This window comes from Homo sapiens, chromosome 1 (genome assembly GCF_000001405.40).
Source record: "Homo sapiens chromosome 1, GRCh38.p14 Primary Assembly".
Taxonomy (NCBI): Eukaryota; Metazoa; Chordata; class Mammalia; order Primates; family Hominidae; genus Homo; species Homo sapiens.
The window spans coordinates 84188735-84213964 of NC_000001.11; the positions used below are offsets into that span (position 1 = coordinate 84188735).

The 25230-nt window shown below is 33.5% G+C and overlaps 1 protein-coding gene across 36 annotated transcripts in view; it reads left to right on the top strand.

The window, feature by feature from the left end:
- PRKACB (protein kinase cAMP-activated catalytic subunit beta) overlaps positions 1 to 25230 on the top strand; it is a 160420-nt gene that overhangs the window by 110656 nt on the left and 24534 nt on the right. For 15 of the 36 annotated variants that reach the window (NM_002731.4, NM_182948.4, XM_047424681.1 and 12 more), the window contains 3 exons: positions 7882 to 8008; positions 8995 to 9090; positions 13949 to 14071. In NM_002731.4, the coding sequence (NP_002722.1) occupies positions 7882 to 8008; positions 8995 to 9090; positions 13949 to 14071 (346 nt within the window). Of the gene's footprint in view, positions 1 to 7881; positions 8009 to 8994; positions 9091 to 13948; positions 14072 to 15744; positions 16704 to 17635; positions 22051 to 25230 lie in introns of those variants that run through there. The other 21 variants (NM_207578.3, NM_001300916.2, NM_001375569.1 and 18 more) reach the window with 3 other exon arrangements.

Consider the following 25230-nt stretch of genomic DNA (forward strand, 5'->3'; position numbering starts at 1 on the left):
AGATCTGTGTCTTCAAATGTTTTCCAAGGGCCCAGCTGGAAAATCCCAAAGCTAATTCTAGATTAAGAACATTTAATTTAGGATTTGATTTTTGGGAAGTTTGTTAAACATCTTAAAAGACTTAAAACCCTTGGTCAAAACGGAGTAACAGGTCACTGTAAAATAATAGTCATTTATTTAACCAGAGTGATAATCAAAAGACATCAGATGTAATACAGAAAGTTATATGAATGTGAAAACTTTTATTATTTTTAAAGCTCAGTTTTTCTGAGTAATGAAAAACCTGATAAAGACAACATAGGATATTATCTTGATAAAATATAAAATCTAGTTTTTTAGACAAATCACCAAAATGGTAAAGAAAAATCTTCTGCAGTATGCTCATTATTTCTTTTTCCCATTTAGAGCTTTCCATTAAAAAAATTACCAATCATCTGAAAGTTGATTGAGTACTTGAATTTAATCAGACACAGGAAGAATGTGTCCAGGGTTATTGAGTGTACACTGTGTTATAGAAAAATATGAACAAGAAGAGGACTATCTTGAGCAGGGAAATACATGGCTCTCAGTAACAGCATGAGAAATTTCCTGGTTACATGAAATAATACAGACATACCAAGAAGAGCCAAGAATACAGATTCAAATTATACTGAAAGAAAACTTCGTTTTTCTAGGCCTTTAAGATAAACGTTTCTGCATCAGGCCATAACAAAGTTCAAACTGAAAAAAAAAAAAAAGTTCTAGGAGTTGAGGAAAAAGGTTGAAGGAGGGAGTTATCAACCCAGCCAAGCAAAAAGATATACCTTTCAAGAAAGAGAAGGGGATGTATGACCTTCAAATCATGTGTAGTGTGACACAGCAAAAGCCGAACTTCTGAAATATAAATTTCAAAAGGAAAACTTTACCTCAAGAAATGGAATTACTATTTTTAATGAAGAGGACAGCATTTCAAACCTAAAACTAGGGAAATTAATTAGATCTCAGGAAGAAATGTGGCAGAAATAGAAATTGCACTTTGGAAGATGGCTGTCAAAGAAACAGATTTTATAATTAAAAATCACAACCTTTTGCAGTATTATTGAGAGCAGATCAATACTTCAAGAAAGTTTTGTTTAAATATAGAGAGCAAGATTCTGGTCCTTTGTCAGTGCACCCTTGACACCAATCATTAATTTTTAGAAAAATATGTAAACAATTTTCCTTTCCAATTTCTTTCCCTAACTATTTACACATAAAACTTTTTTCATAAGGTCCATCCTTTCATTTTTCCAAACCCCCAGTCTTAATCTTATAATTTTTCTTTTCTTCTTCCTCCGTTTTTGGAACAGCCAATCATTTTACTTTAGGAAAAATATTTACCACCTAATATACTTTTCATACAACATATTTTTTTCTTACATTCATATTTTGACTACTAGACCTCAATATACTTAAACTTTTTATAGAACTTAAGAACCCAATAAGGGATTTATATTTATTTAGCAATTTGTTTTAGTTTTTAAACTTATTTGTTATGGCCCAGACATCTAATAAGTATCTTATTATTTAATTTAATATAACATAACTGTAAGACTTTAAATTACATGAGACATTGATTTATAAATGTTTATTTAATTAACATTCACCTAATTTATTCATTTTTATTAATTATCCCTGGATTACTTATGAAAATTGAGATATTAGGCAGAGTCGTTATTTTAAGTTATTTTTATTAGCCAATTTTATAGCCTGTTAATATCAAATGTTTACCTAAATAAGAACTTAAAGTTAGATACATGAATATTCTTTCAATAACTCAGAAGATACACGTTTATTAAATCAGTAATATTAAATCTTATTTATCAAATAATAGCATATACAAAGATCATTTTGTTTTAGTCTGGGTTTATAGCTTCATGACCTTAAGAAATTTATCAGAGGCAAATATAAAACTCTCTGACCAGGAAATCTAGGCAAAAATCTGTGTTGACAATTTTGAAGACATTTCTCATTTTATTTTGTTAGTAACTTTTTAGTATAGTTAAGTCTTGTTGAATTGAACCCTTGATCTTTATGTAATGCCCTTCTTTGTCTTTCCTGATCATTTAAGTTCTGTTTTATTGTATGTAAGAATAGACTCCTATTCTTTTTTGTTTTCCATTTCCATGGTAGTTCTTTCTCCATCCCTTTACTTTGAGCTTGTGAGTGTCCTTATAGGTGAGATGGGTCTCTTGAAGATAGCAGACAGTTGGGACTTTTCTTTTTATCCAGCTGCCTTTTAAGTGGGTCATTTAGACCATTTACATTCAGGGTTAGTAGTGATATGTGAGATTTTGATCCTGTTATTATGTTACCAGCTGATTGCTTTGCAGACTTGATTGTGTAATTGCTTTATATTGTCTGTGGGCTATGAGCTTAAGTGTGTTTTTGTGGTAGCAGATATTGATCTTTCATTTCCATGTTTAGGACTCCCTTAAGGACCACTTGTAAGGCTGATCTGGTGATAATGAAATTCCTTTAGTGTTTGCTTGGTGTCTGAGAAAGATTTTATTTCTCCTTCACTTGTGCAGCTTAATTTAGTGGGATATTAAATTCTTAGATGGAATTTTTTTTCTTTGAGGATGCTGAAAATAGGCCCCCATCTCTTTTGGATTGTAAGGTATAAGCTGAGAGGTCCCCTGCTGATGCACCTGATGGAATTCCCTCTGTAAGTGACCTGACATTTCTCTGAAGCTGCCTTCAAGTTAAATGTGGTATATATACACCATGGAATAGTATGCATCCATAAAAAGAATGAAATCATGTCCTTTGCAGCAACATAGAAGCTGCTGGAGGTCATTATCCTAAGTGAATTAACACAGGAACAAAAATCCAAATACTTCATGTTTTTACTTTTAAGTGGGAGCTAAACGTTGAGTGTACGTGGACATAAAGATGGAAACAGTAGACACTAGGGACTACTAGAGAGGAGAGGGAGGGAGGAGAATATGGGCTGAAAAATTACCCAGTGGGTGCTATGCTCACCACCTGGATGATAGGAACATTCATACCCCAAACCTCAGGATCATCCAATATGCCCATGTAGCAAACCTGCACATGTACTCTCTGAATCTAAAATATAAATTTTAAAAAATAAATAATTAAAAAACCAATTAATTTATCAAAGATGTACTTAAGTCATGTGAACTAAAATATTTTATATAAGCACCCATTTATCCAAATAGAATTCTTTAAGGGATTTCTAGACAACTATGTCAGATATTATTATATAGACACAGCATACAATATATGTACATATGCATAAAAGCATCTAAACACCTATACTAATGTATAAATAAAAATATTACAGCTTTTATTTTAGAACTTTAATCATGAGATAGTAAAACAATAAGCACATCAGTTTATAAAAAGAGTTAGATCCAAATTATTTTTCTAACAAAATGGGATGAGGCTAAACTTTAAGCTTTTTTTAATAGGTAATATTATGAAGTATGTGAACTAAATTATAGGTAGAGTAGTTTGAGTCAGTTAGCAATATACTGGAATAGACAAAGAACTGTTAACTGAGAAAATGTGAATGAATTATGTGAGGAGACCCAAATGATAGGAGTTATTCTAATTAGGTCTGTACAATATTTTCTTGTCTCAATTCTTTGTCCCTGAAGGTAAGATTGTTGCCATTTCTTTTAGTATAGGGACAGTGTCCTTTACATTGGAATTTTATCTTAAAAACAAAACAGCATGAAAATCACAATGATTTTCTTTTTTATCTGATGATTTTCAAGTGTTTTTAATTAAATAATATGCCAAAATAGCTGAGGATTTTTGGGAAAAAAGAGTTTAGTCTAGATTAGGATAAAGAAGAGGAATTGTAAACGTGGAGGGAAAAGCTCCAGAAGGGAACTTGTCTCCGCTAGCTTTGAGACAGTATTTTGTAACAAGGCAATCTCTGAGTCCTGAAATTTTTATTAGCCTTAAGATATCAGTTGAGATATGAGTCTTATTTGGAGTATATGATTTTGTCACCATGGTCTTTTAGTTTTGTTGTAAGAACAACAGACTGTTTGAATGATTCCTATAACGTTTGAACATGTTACCAGCTGGAGTCTCAGAAAATATCTTGGCATGCCTTCAAACTTTGAGAGCCTATTTTTAACTAAATGTATTTAGGTGATTCGGTTTAATGCCAAATACGTAAGAGCCAACTAAACACAGGTGCTGAATACACAAGGCCAAATAAACACAAGCACCAACAGAAAATAAAGTATGTCCTTACCAGGAAGAACAATAAGCCTTCTCCAAATGAAGGGGAAAGTCTCCTCATCCAAACCTCAAAACTGAGGTCTAAACCTTACACCTGAAGTCAACAGGGGGAAAATAACCCTCCCCAACAGGAGATCAGTTAACCAGGAGGCAAAAGACGCCTCTCAAACAGGAGTGGGAAAGAGAAAGACCCCTTCCCAGCCAAATCCCAAATAAAACAGAACTCAACCAAAATTAAGAGTTTAGTCCAAAAGAGACTCACTAAGGGGAAAAGAGGGGACTCCCCAGAAGCAGCGGGACTGAAAGGGCTCCAATGGGGGTACTTCATGCTGTAGTTCCCAGGGCCAGTGATTCTCCCTGAAGTATGTCAGCTTTAGGATCCCACTTCTGACACCAAGTATATCAAAGTCAAAATAAAAATATAGAGATGAATCTCTAGATTTGATATTTTATTTGGGAAGCAAGAATTACAATGCAAGGTATCCACACAGACCAGGTGGTCTTTGGTGTGACTGAAGAATAAAAAGAAGGTTGAAAGTTTTATAAAAAGGAGAAGTTTTACGTTTTGGGACAAAGTTCATTGGCACTAGCAAAGTTTTGGGGAGCTGGCAAGCTGTGATTGGTGAGTGATGGTGGTGGGTTCAAACTAGTCTTAGAGTCACAGCAGGTTGTTTCAGTAGCTATTAGATAAAACTGGCTTCAGGTTACAGCAGGAAGCTTTAGCAGCTAGGCATGTGGAAAATTTAATTCTTGGAGCAGGTGCTGGGTGCTCTGAGTGCTTTATTGCCCTGGCCCATCAACTCTGATTTAGTTGGGTATGACAAAAATGACCCAACTTACACAATTAACTTTCATAATTAAATACTGGCATAACTAAAACACAAGTATGAACTGAAACAGGACTGATGATGGTAATTTGATTCATAAAATGATGGTGGCAGACTCAGAATATCACAAGATGATATCAAGTAATGAGCAAACATTGGAGTCATTTTAATTACCCGAGGCCTAAGCCAAGATTCATTTATTGACTTACTATGCACAGGGCAACTAATATAATTAATATAGTGTCAGGCACTGTGCAAAGTAGCTTCTGCTTATCTTTGAGAATTTTCTTTCCTCTCCTATCGTCCTCTCTCTCCTACTGCCCCTTGTTCAAGCAGAATCCTCATATTGCCTTATGGTTATTTAAAGTTTACACTAAAGTACCACACCTGAACCTGTTCTCAAAAAAGTTTTTGTTAACTTTATATAATTGGTAACTTCTTTTCTTTGCAACTCCTCACAGTCTTAGTACTCTTTGATATTGACTCTTTAATACTTGACTTGGTACTAAAAGGATAGCAAGTTGATTGAAGGAATTCACACTGAGACACTTGCCTTATCTCATCTTTCACAAGTACTACATATACACTTGAACAATTGCCAGTGTCCATCTTAGAAGTTTTGAGGCAATAGGAATATGAGTTATTGTTTAGCATGGCTTTAATCAGAATCAAATGAGGCATTATAATTCTCTACTTAAAGCTGTCTGGACTTAAAACTGCTACAGCATTAGCCCTTACCATTGTCTTCCTACATTCAATTAAATATTAAGTAGAAATACCCAATAACACTTTGCACTTGGAACATTTTACTTTCACCTTTCAAGAATTCGATTATAGGTTGAGCACAGTGGCTCATGTAAGCCTGTAATCCCAGGACTTTTGGAGGCTCAGGCAGGTGGATCACTTGAGCTCAGGAATTCAAAACCAGCCTGGGCAACATGGCAAACCAAACCCTCCACACACACACACATACAAATACAAAAAATTAGCTGGGCATGGTGGTGTGCAACTGTAGTCCCAGCTACTCGGTAGACTGAGGTGGGAAGATTGCATGAGCCCAAGAGTTTGAGGCTGCAGTGATCATGCTACAGCACTCCAGCCTGGTGACAGAGTAAGAAAAAAAAAGAATTTTATTATAGATCTATGTAATGTATGTGTTCCTCCAATTAAACACCAGCATATGGAAATTAATATTTTATAAGTAAAAAGTAATCATATTAATGACATTTTACATTTACAGATGCATGTAAACGTGCATTTTATGTTTACAGATGCATGGATAAAGTAAGAGGGGACCTCCCAGGTCAGATGTTTCCCAGTTTAAGCATAAATGTTGCAATGACCAGAATGATTATTTTAATCTCTGCTTACAATGTTCTCCTCATTCCTTGTCATTTGGCATACAATGTGGATTGACAGTGTTGGGATGAAGCTGAAACTGGAAGGGTATTATAAAATTTTGCTCCCCAAAAGCATTTTTCTTTACATATGCATTCTTTCAACAAATATTTACTGAGCACTTGGGAAATGCAGTGACAAGCAAAAAAAGGCAGCACATAAAGTCTTTTGTTGGAATTTGTATTTCTCTTGCTACCAGATCAAATTCATACCAACCATCTTGAGGGAAATCCTATTCATAGTTAAGGTTGTTCACTGAGGAAACAAATCTGAAAGTCATTGTTATTTATCAGGCAGATTAGTAGAATTCAAGTAATACATTAGAAGATAAATTAGAAACTCAGAAAATTGGTACATCCTTTTGGATTTTTCAGATTCTGACATCAAAATTACACTGATCTATTAATCTAATATATACATAAAAGAACTAGCTGGGTGCGGTGGCTGACTCCTGTAATCCCAGCACTTTGGGAGGCTGAGGCGGGTGGATCATTTGAGGTCAGGTATTCGAGACCAGCCTGGCCAACATGGTGAAACCCCGTCTCTACTGAAAATACAAAAATTAGCCGGGCATGGTGGTGGGCGCTTGTAATCCCAGCTACTCAGGAAGCTGAGGCAGAAGAATCGCTTGAACCCAGGAGGCGGAGTTTGCAGTGAGCCAAGATTGTGCCACTGCACTCCAGCCTGGGCAACAGAGCAAGACTGTGTCTCAAAAAAAAAAAAAAAGAACTGTACGTATTTACACTAACATAGAGATTATACTTATGTCTGTGAATCTATGTAAACAAGCATAGTAAAAGATTTGGAAATTCTGATGCCAAGATTGTATCTATGGTTTCTGAATAGGTTTATGAGTATTCATTATTCTTCATCAATATTTTATGATATTTTTCCATAACGAGCGTATGTCATTTTTGTAACAGGAACTATTACAAAATGGGTAAAATGGCATTAATCTGCAGATAAATGCAGCTAAAGAGCTTCTACATAGGGAAATTCTATAAACACTTGAAATTTGTGAGAAAAGTAGATGGAGCCTGTTAACTATAGCAGTGGCCCCGATAGACACTCCATTTGGCACATTTGCTTTCCAATTATTCTCAAGATCAGACATAATTAGAAAGACATCAATATATTTAAATATGGGCAATAATGATTCACAATGAGCTAACTATTTTAGGTTTATATTTTTCCTCAACATATGCTTCCCCATAAATTTATCAGAGCGTTATTTGAACAAAATATAGAGATTTAATAAATATTTGAAAAGTAACAAGGTTCTTTACATACTTTTTAAAAAAATACTTTTTGTTCCCAAAGTACCTCTACTTCATATTAGTTTTTATGCATAATCTACTAATTAGAATGTATTAACTCATTTTTACAGAAAATCAATGGTTTTATTTCTTTGCAGTGAGCCCCATGCACGGTTCTATGCAGCTCAGATAGTGCTAACATTCGAGTACCTCCATTCACTAGACCTCATCTACAGAGATCTAAAACCTGAAAATCTCTTAATTGACCATCAAGGCTATATCCAGGTATGACTTTAACACATTATGTGTACTGTATATGAGAAAATACTAGGCAAGACATTGTATGTATGTAACCCCAACTTGGAATTTTTTTTGAAGAAGACACTTTCTCCTAATAGTTTAAGTAGAGCTCAGAGTTTTGCTGCTATTACAGAGAAGCAAAAATCCTGTTATGAAAGGAACTTGTTTATATCTCCATTAATCTATAGTTGTGAACTGAGTATAGCCTCTTGCATAAGGAGATATTAATAGCTAAATCTATGAGCAGTTATTAGTGCCAGGCATATTCCACTTGTTTTACATGTATTATTTCTTTAATCCTGATAAACCTATGAAGTGGAAATACCATTGTTATCTTCATTTTAAGATTAACAAAACTAAGACATAGCAAGGTCATTTAGCCAATAAATGGTAGAGTCAGAATTTGAACCTAGGCAGTCTGATCCCAGAGTCCATGCCCTTTACGACTACAATATAACTGCCAAAGAATCCCTGACTACCAATACTGAACTCGTAGCAACGTTTTCTTTCCACTTCTACTACTAATAAAGTGGGAGCATTTCTTTTTACACAATTATTGATAGATTCTCCCATTGACGTTTTTACACTTCTGATGGTGCAACTAATGGCAGAGGACACATTGGGGTAAGGCAGACATTTAGCATTGTTTCATTTTTATTAATGCTATTTATTTTTACCTTTTATTTTCACTTTTTTATTCCTTGGGTCTAGGATCTTATAATAATGACTGAAAAGAGTTTTGTTGTTATTAATTTGTTCCTTTTCTTTGAGTTGAGGAAGGATTTCCAACTTGGATTGTTTAAACTTTCATTCACTAGATATTCATGAATGAATTTCAATTACGTGGACTTAATTTTTTTTCCATTTCTTTCATAGTTTCAATTTGAATTTTAAACTTTCAACGTAGGTGCAATAAATACATTTATTGTGAGGTAATACATTTTCACTAGTATTCTTTTTTTCTTTTATAGGTCACAGACTTTGGGTTTGCCAAAAGAGTTAAAGGCAGAACTTGGACATTATGTGGAACTCCAGAGTATTTGGCTCCAGAAATAATTCTCAGCAAGGTATATTCATAATATCAACACATAAGAAGTAGAAATATGAGACATGCATCCCTATGGACTTTTGTAAAAACAGTTTATTGATCTAATTTTACATTTTTAATTTGATCTAAGTTATGAATTTAAATCTATTTGTGCATGATTACTAAAGAATTATTATTTAGCATCTACCACTAATCCTGTAACCTCTGTCAATTTTAACTCTGGGTCTTAGAGATATAATATGAATAAATATGACCTCTAGATCCATGTTTTGCAACCAAAAACATAGTCTTTTCTTAATTATTCCTAGTAACGGAAGGGTAGAGAAGACTTGCTCTGGATTATACCAAGAGGTAAATCTAGAGATGATATGTACTAGTTGTCCATTCTTTCTTTGTTTCAAATTTACCAGTTAAATAAAAGGAATGTATGAGAAGTGTTTTTAAATTTTAAATAGGACTATTAACAGCAATTGAATAGTTTTAGTCTTATTGAAGGCAGCTCTGCTTTTCTAAATAGTGAAACGTGGTGAGAGAAACTGTACCTATATCCAAAAGAATGGTTAACTTTTCCTCTGCCATCACTTGGTGGAGAAATCTAGAAAGGAGAACCTAACAATAACCAGGCACAAATAGGAGAGAGGAAAAGGAAGGGGATAAGACACATGCTTCACTGGTTCCCAAATGGAATCATTGAAATATGGCTAACTTATAGAAGTGTTAAAATAAAAGATTTCTTTCAACTTTTCTCTCATTATCTTTCATAATTTAAATAATATGTAACTTCTTGATATTTTATAATCTAAATATCATTGTAGTTAACACATTTCTTTAAATACAGTTAACAAATAATGGGACAACAAAATGAGCACTAAAACTTTTACAAATGTGTATATATTGTAAAAGTAATACTCATTATACAAAATTTAGAAAATACAGAAAAACATAAACAAACAACCAAAAAAAAACCTATATGTAATCCCACCAACCTAGACGCAGCCTTTTTAAAAACATTCATATATGTATGTACATATATGTATATATGTGTATATGTGTATATATATACACCACATATATGTGTATATATGTGTATATATATACACATATGTGTGGTGTGTGTGTATATATGTATATGTGTATATATACATATATATTCATATATATGTGTATACGCATATATGTATATATGTATATGTGTATATATACATATATGCGTATATATACACATATATACGCATATGTATGCATATATATATGCGTATATATGCATATATGTATATATATGCGTATATATGCATATATGTATATATATGCATATATATATATATATACACACACATTTTAGCTTTATTTTAGCTTTCATTTTAGGTTCAGGGATACATGTGAAGGTTGGTTACAGACGTAAACTCATGTCATGGGGGTTTGTTATACAGATTATTTCATCACTCAGGAATTAAGCCCAGTACCCATAGTTATCTTTTCTTATCCTCTCCCTCCTCCCTACCTCCACCCTCAAGTAGAATCCAGTATCTGTTTTTTCCTTCTTTGTCTTCATAAATTCTCATCATTTAGCTCCCACTTACAAGTGAAAACATGTGGTATTTGGTTTTCTGTTCTGCATTAGTTTGCTGAGGATGATAGCCTCCAGCTCCATCCATGTTCATGCAAAAGACATGATCTCATTCCTTTTTATAGCTGCATAGTATTCCGTAGTGTATATGTACCACATTTTCTTTGTCTAGTCTACAATTGGTGGACATGTAGGTTGATTCCATGTCTTTGCTTTTGTGAATAGTGCCACAATGAATAAACAAATGCATGTGTCTTTATGATGAAATGATTTATAATCCTCTGGGTGTATACCCAGTAGTGGGATTGCTGGGTCGAATGGTAGTTCTGCTTTTAGCTCTTTGAGGAATCTCCATACTGCTTTCCACAATGGTTGAACTAATTTACACTCCTACCAACAGTGTCTAAGTGTTCACTTTTCTCTGCAACCTTGCCAGCATCTGTTATTTTTTGACTATTTGTTTATTTATTTATTTATTTATTTATTTTCTGGAGATGGAGTCTTGCTCTGTCGCCCAGGCTGCAGTGCAGTGGCGTGATCTCGGTTCACTACAACCTCTGCCTCCTGAGTTCAAGCGATTCTCGTGCTTCAGGCTCCCAAGTAGCTGGGACTACCGGCATGCACTACAACACCTGGTTAATTTTTGTATTTTTTAGTAGAGACAGGGTTTCACCATATTGGTCAGGCTGGTCTTGAACTCCCGACCTCAAGTGGTGCACCCTCCTTGGCCTCTCAAAGTGCTGGGATTACAGGGGTGAGCCACTATGCCCTTCCATTTTTTTACTTTTTAGTAATAGCCATTCTGACTGGTGTGGAATGGTATCTCATTGTGGTTTTGACTTGCTTGCATTTCTCTAATGATCGGTGATATTGAGCATTTTTTCATATCTTTGTTGGCCGCATGTATGTCTTGTTTTAGAAAGTGTCAGTTCATGTCCTTTGCCCACCTTTTCATGGGGTTGTTTGTTTCTTGTAAATTTGTTTAAGTTCCTCATAGATGCTGGATATTAGACCTTTGGCAGATGCATATGGTTTGCAAATATTTTCTCCCATTCTGTAGGTTGTCTGTTTACCGTTGATAGTTTCTTTTGCTGTGCAGAATCTCTTCAGTTTAATTAGATCCCACTTGACAGTGTTTGCTTTTGTTGGAATTGCTTTTGGTGTCTTTGTCATGAAACCTTTGTCCATTCTTATGTCCAGGGTGGCATTGCCTAGGTTGTCTTTCAAGGTTTTTATACTCCGGGGTTTTGCATTTAGGTCTTTAATCCATTTTGAGTTGATTTTTGTATATGGTATAAGGAAGGGATCTATCTTCAGTCTTTTGCATGTGGCTAGCCAGTTATCCCAGCACCATTTATTGAGTAGGGAAACTTTTCCCCATTGCTTGGTTTTGTCAGCTTTGTCAAAGATCGGGTGGTCGTAGGTGTATGGACTTATTTCTGGGTTGTCATAGTTGAAATCATAGTAAATATATATAGTCTTGTCTCTGACTTTTTTCACTTTTATAATAACAAGCATGCAAACATCATTCTAATGGCTTGTTTGTAAATGTACCATAAAATATGTAGCCACTCTTCTATCGTTGAGTGTTCAGGTTTTATTTTTGATTTTTTTATTATTATAAATAACTATGATAAACATCCTTATACATAAAAGTTTTTTCCTTATTTTACATTATTTCCTTAGCATATATTCCCAGAAGTAGAATTACTGGGTCAAGGAATAGGAACATTTTTAAGGCTTTTGATACATATTGCCAAATTGCTTTCCAAAGTTATTATGCCATTTTACACTTCTACCATTAGTGTATTATAGTGCCTATTTCATAACACTATCACTGGGTATACTCATTTTTAAAATATTTACTGATTTCATAGGCAATAAATTGTATCTCATTGTTTTAATTCTCATGTTTTTTATTTATTTTTCAAATGGTTAATAGCCATTTGGTATTTCTTTATGTGTCTGTAAATTATTAGTTCATTTCCTTGGCCCATTTATCTATTGTAATTTAACATTTTTCTTATTGATGTGTTTTGATTTCTATACCTTGGGTATTAACTTGTGTCTGACATATTTACTATAAACATTAGCACACAATTTAAACATATGAATCAAAAAGTTAAAGAGAGTTAATGCCTATTTCTATTAAAAAACAAAGTGCTATTCCTGTTATACCACTCCTTCCCTTAAAAAGATATACACAGTATCAGGAAAAAAAAGAGAAAAAGAAAATCTCTATAGCGCTAAAGTATTATATTTTTGCTAGAATTTTGAAAACTAAGTAGTTTGTAAAGCTAAAATTTTGACAAAAGGGTGGAATGTGGTGAGTCGTGATGGTAGAGGGTACCTCTGAGGGCAGAGCAATAGATCTGGGTAGAATTCAGCTTATTTCTCTTCATGACAGGTTTTTGGGGTTGTTAAAAAATCTCTTGTGTCAGTTGATACTGACCATAGTTAATAAACTATATTAGCATGTTAATATGAAGATGTTATTCTTATTTATTTTCTTATGAATACTTACAAATTTTAATTTTAGTAAGCTTAATATGAAAAAAACAAACATAACCTGTGATTTTTACATTTGGTTTGCAAAGCACTTTTTACACACGTTACTCCCTTTCATTTGATACAGTCCTCACAAAACTCTGTGAATTCATTTTTTTCCTGCATATCTTTTAGATATAGGAAGCAAGACAGTAGATAGCAGAAGTAAAGTATACCTAAATATTTACATGAATTGAATTTTACATTAAACTTTTTGCTTTCACAAAATCCTATGAAGCAGATGGGATTATCCCTAGCACATTCACCCTCCTAACTCCAAAAATATAGAGTATTTTGAAGTCAACTTCATTATTTACTATGTAGTCCAGTTTCTATTATTTTCTTTGAAAACTTTTGATCTTTCTAGGCATGCTGTGGAAAATCTGTTTCATAAGATTATGGACCTAGAGTGGGCCTTAAGAAGTAATGTGGTCTAACTGCCTTCCTGTTATTGAGCAAGAACTAAATTATACCAGTGAAATAAAGAAAATTTCATTGTCTATAATATTCTTAATAATTTTAGGAAGAAGATTTAATACTCTTTCCTAATATCCAATTTCAGTATCTGGAAATCCTCTCCTTTGTTTAATTTAAATCTGACCTGATACATTTGGTTCATTTTTAAATTCTGTCCTGAATAGCTGCTCAGCAATTGCTTTAAAAAAATTTTTATATGCTTCCAGATCATTTTGAAATTATCTTTGACTTCATTCTCTTTTGAGTAACTTAAGTAACAATTGACATTGGTGTTGGTTTATCTCAGGGCTACAATAAGGCAGTGGATTGGTGGGCATTAGGAGTGCTAATCTATGAAATGGCAGCTGGCTATCCCCCATTCTTTGCAGACCAACCAATTCAGATTTATGAAAAGATTGTTTCTGGAAAGGTAAGTAAAACATTTTATTATTCCTCTCTTATTACTGTATATGAATTTTAAGCTTCATGAATTGAAACTATATTGTGTCATAATTATTATTCTACATTGGGAAAAATATAGAAAAATCTACAGTTGCTGCTCTTACTATCATAAGAATTGAATCATTTCAGTCTCTTAAGAAAAAAAGGGCAGTTTTATAAAGAAATTAACAAAACAGTAAAGCAATTTCTGTATTTAGTATTTTTATCACAAAGAACAGGATCATAGCCATAATTCTCGATATTCCTTCAAATAAATAAAAATAGTTTATTATTTCATGTGTCTATCTTCATGGAGAAAAGTTTTAGGGGCTGTTTTATATGCCCTTCCATTTTCAGGAGAGACTTCTTGTTTTAATTATGTCCAATACTATAACATTGGAAGTAAAAGTAAATATAAAATGAATAAGCCTTTTTCAGATGGAAATTTATAGAATTGATTTTAACAGAATTGTTCATATAGATTGTGATTATACTTGTCATTGGTTTTTAGCAAACATGGAAATAACATTAATTTTTCTTCAACATGAGTAGACTTACTGTGTTGTAGTATTTTACATTTTGTAAATTTCTTCATAAACCTTCCTTCTTTTGCACTTATAACCTCTAATTTGCTTTCAAGAGTGTTTTGTTTAGGGTCAGTCATTTGCTGTTGCCTTAGCTCAGACCTCGGATCTTTTTTTAAAAGACCATTGTCAATTCAATAGAAATGAGCTTGAATTTCCTACCATGCAGCAATGAAAGAATAGGCTTTTAAACATTCCCAGAAGGAGACCTTCTATACATTAATGACAAAATATATGGGAAGGGATATTTTGCTTATTTTCCCTTCTTTCTATTTCTACATGTGGTACTGCTTTGTCTTTTCTTTTCTTTCCCACATAGTCCCATTTAGAATATGATCAGGAAATAGAGCATCAATCTTTATCACATTAGCCTGAGATGTTATAGAGTTGAGGTTTTTTTGTTTTATTTTTTATTTGTTTGCTTTGTATTTTGTGACCTTCTTAGGCAGAGATAAGCCGGAAGGAGATAGTAGAGGGAAGGTCTTTATTTCTTTGTATCTCAGCCATATTCAAGCTCTACATTTAGTGTGAAAGCTTACCCTTGGCATCTATCAACTTACAATTTCCATTGTTAACTATTCACAAGGTACCCTGAATGTCTCTAATGTGGTAATTTATTTTTTTTGCCAACACTCAAATTTAAATCATAGATGCTGCACAGCTGGGCTGTAGCAACAAGACATTTGCCAATAGAATTAGTCTATCCAATCACCTAGAACATACATTTCAGCACAGTATTGTTCCCTATCTCATAGTACATATGCACTCTACCTGGGTCATGAGATTTTCCCTTGTATTTTGCCACGTTTTATGTAGAAAGTTTTATTTATTATCAGTATTCACAAATTAGGAGACTGACTAAAGAATTTATACTCCAACTATGTCAAAGGTAAAAAAATAAATACCTCTTACAGATAAATAAACCTAGCTAGGTGTTGAATGCTGTGCACTGATAAAGGCAATACAGAAAAGCAGAATGCAGTACTTATTTAAACAAGTATCAGTATCACTGCTGTTCTTCTTACATTTGTAGATCTCTGGCTTCAGACTTCTTATCTTTGTAATTGTTTTCTCCCAGCAGAACTTTTGATATGAACAAAACAAAACTTTGAGAAAAATTAACAGACAAGGCAGTGATTTATTTTTGAAGAATTTGAGAAGTGTAGACTCTCAAGAGGACTAAAGGTCATATGAAGAATGATGAGAGAACCAAAATACATTAAAATCACAAATGGAAGAAGAATATTTTACTAATACAAAAACTAAGAATGTAAATGTTATAATAATTGTTTCAAATCATTTAATTGACAGTAATTATAAAGTTCTTGAATCTTTACTATATTACTTTTATTTATATTCATATAAGAAATCCAATTTTCTAACAAGGATACTGTCATAACTAAATTTACATTTATTAAGAAAAACTGCTTTAGTTAAAATTAATGTGTCTTCATTTTTATGCATTGGCCTCGATTTGCCAATCATTCTCTATTGGTTAAATTTTATATTCAGCTGTTTATGAATATATATTCATTTTATATCAAACTTTAAAATTTTGTATCTAATAATCAGCATATATTCTAAAATCATAACAGTCTAAATCCTGGGCACCTTAGAAGAATGACACCAGAAAACCTTATTATATCACAATATTCTGTTTTCCCCTTCATTTATTTAGAAATATGACAGGATATTTGGTGTACTTTTGTTTTTTAACTAAAAGTACCAGATTATCTCTCCCCATGTGGGATATAAAATTATCCCCATCTCTTACTCCCTTTACTCATCTAAAGTAGAAGTCATGAAAGTGGAATTTTTGCCATTAAAAGGCTCTGTATTATGTGAAGTTAGATTGTATTAACCATTTCCCAATAAATCATCTGTTTCAAAACTCAAATTCAAACTAGAATGTGTCTCTATTCACATTGCAAAAATATTATTGTCTCTCTGGTTAGTGGCTAAAAGCCAAATTGGAAACTAACTAGTTTTTTAAATTTTTTAAATTGTGCAAATTATTAAAAATCCAATTTGGTCTTATATTTGTGGATCCTTATATTTATATTTGCATTTGAACTTTTAATGGTTTTAATGATATATCATTTAAGAATATGCTTTTCATTCAGAATTGTTTTTGTTGATTTTAGAAGCATATTATTTTATGAAACAGCATCTTATATTGATTATATCCACCATTCTGAAGTCACGTTATAAAGATTATAGGTATCAATGACTTATCAAAGTTAAATTTATTAATTAAGTGATAAATTCACTAAAGTACATATATATGAATATTAGATTGTAAAATACTTTCTCTATTACAATATTTTAACTCAAGCTGGTATTTTTAAATGCACACAAAGATGATCAATCAACTTGTTAGATTCTCTCCTACACATATTTTGCCTTTAAAAAAACAGAGGAGGTGGTATTTAAATGTCACATTATTCATGCAATGTTAAGGTTTGAGTCTACAAATTCATAGTTGAAAGAAAAGATTTATGATTCCTGCATTAACTATGCCTCATCCTAACAATACATATGCTGAGTTTCTGTATGTAGTCTTTAAATTTCATGTCTCAGTGTCATGTACTCCATGACAAGAATCAGTTATGGTCTCTATAGCACCTTTGTCTGGCTGCGTTACCCATGGAAATATAGAAAGTTTATATTGCAGTCAAAAATTATACTTGCAAATAAGGTACTCAAGTAACAGCTACTATGGAAACCATAACTTTAGAGCCCTTGGCTTATGTAATTTAAAAAAATTCTTAGCTTCAACATATCTAATGTAAATATTGTTCCACTCCTAATGAGTAACAATATATAAGGAGACATGCAACATAGAGAAGTATAAACATAAGTATATACTGAATGATCAAAGAGTTGGTTAATTTTTCCTGAAGGGAAATTCAATATTTACATGAAGGGTAATTGATTATCAGCCCAATTGCTATTCCTTTCTGTCTCAGGAGTCCCCAAGACTGTCTCCAGGTTTGATGATTCACCAGGAGGACTCAACAAGATTCAGCATACAGTGGTACTTGAGGCTAAGATTTATTACAACAAAAGGGTACAAAGTGAAGATAGCAAAAGTCCAGAAGACACCAGGCACAAGCTTTCAAGAGTCCTCTCCCAGGGCATTCACAAGGGATGCACATAATTCCTTCAGCAACAAGCTGTGACAAGCGTGAAATTTTATCTACCAGCAACACTCATTAAATACTCAATGCCCAAAGTTTTCATTGGGGGTTGGTCACATATGCACCCTCTGCCTAGCACATGCCAAAATCCCAGCCTCCCAGAACAAAAGTAGTTGTTCAGAATAAACTATGTTGTTTGTACCAACAGTGTAGGCACAGTGAGCCACTCTAATCCTTTAGGGAAAGTTTCATGTTGGTATAAGGGCACTGGTACTATTCAAGTTGCCAGACATCTCTCAAGGGCCAAACTTGTAAGCAGTTCTTTCTAAGGGTAGCAGTCTCAGGCCTACTATGTTAAGTCTTTTCTACACACATTCGGTTTCCTAAATAACATACACATATGCAGATATTCCACTATACTTTTTCTAAGATACTATTGTTAATGCTTTTGGGGAAATTACAATGTCATTTACTATTTTGCTATGGCCATAGTTAAAGAGACTTAGAAGTATTCAGAAATCATTTTCATAAAACACAAAAGCAGTTTTACTCTTTTCATAAAACCCAGGGCCAGTTTTAAACACTTCACTGTGGCTATTTAAAATTCTTATTAATACCTTCTTTCTGACAGCTCTTGTGGTCCTATGAGCAAATAATTGCAAAACTGGCTTCTTATGTGAGAGCAGGGGGAGGGAGAATGGGGTGGATCATAATCCTCTGCAACCTTGTAGACTCATTATATCTACCACTGTTTCTGCATAGGTAAGGGAACAGATTAGAGAGCCCACAGATGCAGTACCAATATTTATAAATATTTTTAATGTCTTAGCTCTTTCTTTTCACATATAGAATCCAGGCTGATTAAAGATGCCCAGGTCTTATGAGGTAGTGTGGAACTCGGCACCATATCTATAACATGCCTAGCGTATGAAAAGTTATTATGCCTGTTGAAAAATTGTCTAATGTGTATGTTCATTTTTGATCAATCAATTCTTTACTGGGATTGCAGATATTTTGAGAACTTACTGTACCTAATTTATAAATAATTTGTTAAAATTTATCTCAACATGCTCGTAGCCAGTAGTTAGTAGATTATTGCTTCTTGGCTGTATATAAACCCTTTTGAGTCATGTAAGCCTAATAATTTTATCCTGATTCATAAAAGATAATGTTACTAGTTAAATGATCATTTCTCCTGCCAATAATTGCAGAATAGCAGTAAGATTTTTCCCTCCTTTCGAATATCAACTTTGTAATTTCTGTGATTAAGCTTAGTGTAAACAAATTTGATTTGGCTTTATTTTATTTCATTTTCTTCTTATTCATTTTTATTTTTTACTTTTTTGAGATGGAATCTTGCTCTGTTGACCAGGCTGAAGTGCAGTGGCACAATCTTGGCCCGCTGCAGCCTCTGCCTCCTGGGTTCAAGTGATTCTCCTGCCTCAGCCTCCTGAGTAGCTGGGACTACAGGCATGTGCCACCACGCCCGGCTAATTTTTGTGTTTTTAGTAGGGACAGGGTTTCACCATGTTGGCCAGGCTGGTTTTGAAATCCTGACCTCAAGTGATCCACCTGTCTTGGCGTCTCAAATTACTGGGAGTAGTAATTTGAAGTCAGTAAACTAGATAGTGAGTTTAAATCACTCAGTATGGATACCATGAACAACATGAATGGATTTACTTTTTGGTTGTAACTTCATCTTGAACTTTTAGAAGATAATAGTTATTTCTAAAACTCAAATGTACAAGACTTTATAATCAGTGCTGAAAGCAGAAAAAATATTCTGTTGAGTTTGCTCAATTCAGAGTGAATTTTATAGTTCGTTTAACATATTACATAATGTAATTTGACAGTAGTTTAGGATATCAGCCATATTGACAATGGTGTCTTTATAAAACAAATTTATAGTAAGACATTTTCTCCCTCACTTTATCAAACTTAGGACCTTAAGAAAAGATGAAAGTGTTTATTCTATAAATTAACAGGTGGAGCCTGAGACAAGATGAAAGGAGGAACTTCCTATACTTTCCCAATGACTTTTCTAGCACAGACTGTCCTTGGCGCATCTGTAAAAATAATGATAGATATGGCTGTCTTCTACGTTCTTTCTTTAATTCAAAAATTCAGTTTCAGATCATTAAAATAGTATTCTAATGGGAAGGCTTAAAAAATAAAAACTGTGTTGAATTAATGTCTACAGAATACTAGGCATAATACAAGGCAGTTTCATGTTAAGTCACATAATTTCTTTTCATACCTGCCAGATGAGATATACTCTCATTGTTTTATAAATGAGGAAACTGAGACTCAGAAAAGTTTTCCCTAGATTGCAGAGCATGTATGTAAGTAGAGTTGGGATTGGAACCCAGGAATTCTTTCTACTAAAGAAATAGCTTGGTAGAATTTTTTAGGTGGCAAGGATGTTCACTTTTATTTCATTTAACTCTCTAGTCCTATATGTAGGTAAATCAAAACTCAGAATTACCCAAAGACAAAAGGTAGTTTGTGGCAAAGCAGGAAATAGAAGAATCTAGTTCAGTGATTCATTTGTTATTCCTTCACTTGGCTTCAGTGACTTTGTATCACTAATCATTCCCTCTCAATCTCCTTGGCTTGATCCCCTTCTCTTCTTTCTATGCACTTCCTCAATGGGTGGTTTCATCCAGTCTCATGACTCAGGACAATTCCCAAACTCATTTTTCCAGTCCATACCTGATTCCCAAATTCCATACTCTTGTATCTAGTTTCTAACTTGAAATCTTCACTTGGATATCTGATACCTCAAATTCAACCTGTCTAAAACTGACAAGTTTTTGTCCTCTTTCCTACACTCCACCCACCCCCCTCCACGAAGCCTTCCCCATCTAAACTGATGGCAACTCCACCCTTTCAGTTGGTCAGGCCAAGACACCTTCGAGTCCTCACTTCATATCTAATGCACAGGGAAACCATTTTTGCTTTGTCTTTAGAATTTACAGAATTCAGCCACTTCTTACCACATCCACTGCTGTCACTCTTAAGTGAGTCACTAGAGTGGTTCCTTAAAAATGTTAAATAATATCCTATTATTCTTTTCAAAACCTTGCAAGGATTCCCCGTTTTCTTCAGAGTAAAAGTCGAAGACCTTACTATGCAAAGTTTCATGAAAAAGATAGGATAACATTGTTAAAGGATCACTCGGTTGCTAAGTTTTAATTGTCTTCCTCACTAGAATGTAAACTCCATGAAGGCAGAAATCTTCATCTTATTTTGTTTACTTATATAATCCAAGCACAAATTCCTGAGATATATTAGTAAGCACATAGTACTTGCTTAATTCAAGCATAACACATAGTAGAGGTTCAATCAATATTTGTTGAATTTCAATTCATGCATTCATTAAATATTTATGAAGCTCCTAGTATGTGCCAGACCAGTTCTACATGCTGGATACAGCAAGTCAGTTGTGGTCTCTGCCTTCATGAAGCTTTCATGAAGTGTACTCTATCTTTGGTATCTCTCCAGAGACATACTGACTCAAGAGGCCTTCTGTGGATTCAAAACTTTTTTTAAGTATCACAAGTGATTCTGATAAACACCATGTGTTGAGAGCTTGTTTTGTGTATCTGTACCTCACTGGGGAATTAGATTTATTCTCAAGAAAATATAATTAGAAAAATCAGAAGTAATATGGTCTCTAATGGTTGGAAAACAATCCTAAACAATAAATAATATTGAAGAAAAAATATTAAAGAAAACACGTTGGGAAGTGTATATATCACAAACACCTCTTTTATGTTGTACAAACACCTCTTCCATGTTAAATGATGCCAGTTTCCCATAACCTTATCTCTCAGACCTAATGGCTTAATGATTTTAGACTTTCTCTTTTCAATATCTGACTCTTTACATTTACTTTCACATTATTTGCCTATCTTGGACTGGCAGAAAGCTCATAGGTATATGTCAGGAAGATTAGGTTATTTTCCCAATAATTCTACTAACGGAGTTGGTAGCCTCACAGGAGCTCAGATTCCTTATCTTTAAAATGAGAGTTTAGACTCAATTAAACTAAGCTCCCTCTAGCTCCAATATTAGAAGATTCTCATTTCACTTTCTATAGTAGTTATAATTGATAATGATAAAAGTAATACCCTTTTGATATAGTTTTAAAGGAAAAATTAGATAGTCGCTCTTCCCATCATAGAAATCTTTAGTGTCTCCAGGTTGATGTATTACAAATAAAGGTTGTACACTTAAAACAATTTTGTTGAAGTTATTTTCTGTTTTTCACTAATTCCAGTTTGATAAATCAACATGACTCTTTGAAAAGTTCAGTCAACAAGGAAATTACATTTCAGGTTAAATTTCAGAATAATCATGGGAAAAAATACTTTCACAATGACTTTCATTATTTCTCCCCCAAAATACTTTAAATATGTGATGGATTCCCATTATTAACATGAACCACTATGAGAGTGTGGGCTACCTATGAGAATCTCTGGGGAAGAGGGTGTGATATGGAGGTGAGGAGGATATGTCTATGATTTGAAAAGGTTCCCAAATCGTTCTGATATCTGCTGTCACAACCCACCACCACTCCACTGTCACACACACACACACACACACACACACACACACGTTCAAGACCATCACTTTATTTGCATTCCAAAATAAAGAATTACATTATTTAGATGATTTTATTTTTCATGCATTCCACTGCATATTACCTGAATTCCAAAGATAATTTATATGTAGTACATTACTGTCTGCCATCTGAATGTAATGAAAGAGATAACTGGTACATTACCATGGAACAGTTCACACAAATTTAATCTTAAATATAGATGTACTTCAAATAAATTATTTCTTTGGAATCTAAATAAAGTTTAGATTTATCACTGGAAAAATCTGAGCTAATATACCCACTGGAAAAATGTCATGTTATTTTTAAAGTAGACAGTGTGCCTTTTGAAAACCCCTTATTCTCTAGTTATTACTTCATCTAGGTAAATGAGGAAATGTGCAGCAAAATATTTTTAAGAAAATTTCAGTCTTTTAGAAGGTTCCTGATAATGACTATTTTTAGGTTATTGAATCATGGAAGGAGAATAGATAATTAAAAATAAGTACCCTGAAGTCAGTGTACCCAGTTTGGAATTACACCTTTACTATTTATTAGCTCTGTAATCTTAGGCAAAATAATTTCTGTAGGTCTCAATTGCTTCACCCCTACCTATGAAATTTGGATAATAATCATACCTATGTTTTGGATTTTATGAGCCAGTACAGAAAGTGTTTAGCATAATGCCTAGCTTCTAGTAAACCACTGTGTCAAGAATAAAACTAGAGAAGGTAGAAGTTCACATATCTTATTATTTTAGAACATAAAACTGCTCATAATCTAGGATAATAAAGGGCCTTGCAAAAATGAGATTTTGAGTTGCTAATTTATATGAGTTGAGCCTAAATCCTGGTCATTTATTAACTATTAACCCTTTAAATAGTCTTTAGTTGTTGATAGAATATTAGTTTTCCTCTGGTATGATAATGATTTCAATTTACAGTACTGTATTATTTACATTTAAAATGTTATGATCTTTTACTAGCATAGAAAATAAAACCTCTGCATAAAGTAGTGAACAGAGTTGAGAATAGTGCTTTTCAAGCTTTTATGTACATATGAATCCCTTGGAGATAAAAGCTCAGATTTTCAGGCCCAATGCCCCCATCATCTGAGGCAAGCCACAGGAATCTACATTTTTATCCTTTTGTCTCCCAGTTTATTCTGATGTGCATGGGTCCTAGGACCAGATTTTGAAAAAATTTACTTATAGACTAGCACAAAAGTGGCAGTCAAAAGCTATGGTTATGAATTTAACTTTACTATAAAACCTATCTTTGCATGCATGATTTAACTTCTACTTTGAGAACATGAGAATGTATGTCAAGTAGGTTGAGCTTTTAGAAAGTCAGAATATAAATTAAGGAGTCTATATATTTGAAGACAGTGTAATAAAGAGCAAAATTCATGAAGCTACAAATCATGACTAGATTACTGGTCCCAACTCTGCCACTTTATGGCCTGATGACTGGGGAAGCTATACCCAGTAACATTGCTGAATCTTAGTTTCTCCATCTTTAAATTGGAGTTAATACCATATTCACTGAATTTGTCCTATCCAACTAGAATGTAAGTTCCATGAAATCAGAGACTTGCCAGGTTTTGCTCACTGCTATATATCCAGCACCTAAAATAGTGCCTGGCATATAGTAGGTATTCAATAAATAATTGTAAAATGGATGAACTACAGTATTTGAAATAGTCTAATAAATACTGAGAATAAAAATGGCACAATACCTTCCCTCAGAAGCTCAGAGCCTGGGGGAGACAGAAATATGCACAAATACTATAGCATAGTTGAATAAATAAATGTATTATAAAGAGCAACTGAGGTAATGTAATGATGCACTATGTAAGTTATGAAGTGATGGTAGTACTTGTAGTGGTAGCACTTGTAGAGAAACAAAATAAGAATGCAGAGAGTTTGGGGATGCGCCTCTTAACCCTTTAAAGTGTTTTCTACAAAGTGCTATGATCAATTTGTAGTTGAGGCTGTAATAATCCAGATATGTATACACATACATGTGTGCATACATATGTATGTATGACAGGGAAGAGGGTAATGAAAGGGATTGAACACAAGCTGGAAAGGATAGTGGAGAGGTGGTAGTGATGACAAAAAAGAATAAGGAGGCATAGATGCAGCTATTCCTTCATCCTTTGGTGGTACCCATTTTAATTTTTTAGGTACCCATATCAATGAAACAGTAATAACCAGAAGTTAGATTGGTATAGAGGAGAAGAATGTGTTTAAACAAAACAAAATGAAAAATAGACTTAGGTCTCCTATAAATGTTACTTTAACCTTATCGATTGCCAAAAATCTTCACTTATTTGGGGGTTTTCCATTTATTTTTAAGGCCAGAGGCCAGTCTAGTAATTGTAAAGTCTTCACAATTTAGTAGGTAGAAAAATGCTTTTAAACCAATCTAAATCATTTTTATACTGTTGCATAATAGGAGAATTATTTTTAAAAGCCAACTTCTGATAAATGAAAAATGTTTTCCTATACTGTGAAAGGCAGTGTGGGTTTTTACAACCATTTTTAGACTTCCTTTTTGATAGATCTCTTTTCAAAATGTACATACTGATTTCCTTCATATGCTGGTTCTTCTATTTATATTACAAAGTTAAATTTATGTATCTTTGAGACACAGGTTTGTAATGTATGATCCAAAGAGATTGCTCTTAAAGATAGGTGAACTTTCTGATATTTTGCAAAAGTTCTGTAGGTGTGCACATTTTTCTGGAGACTGCTCCATGTTCTTAAAGACATCATAACCAAAGCAAGGCCCTAAGAGAACAGGTTTAGTTCATTCAC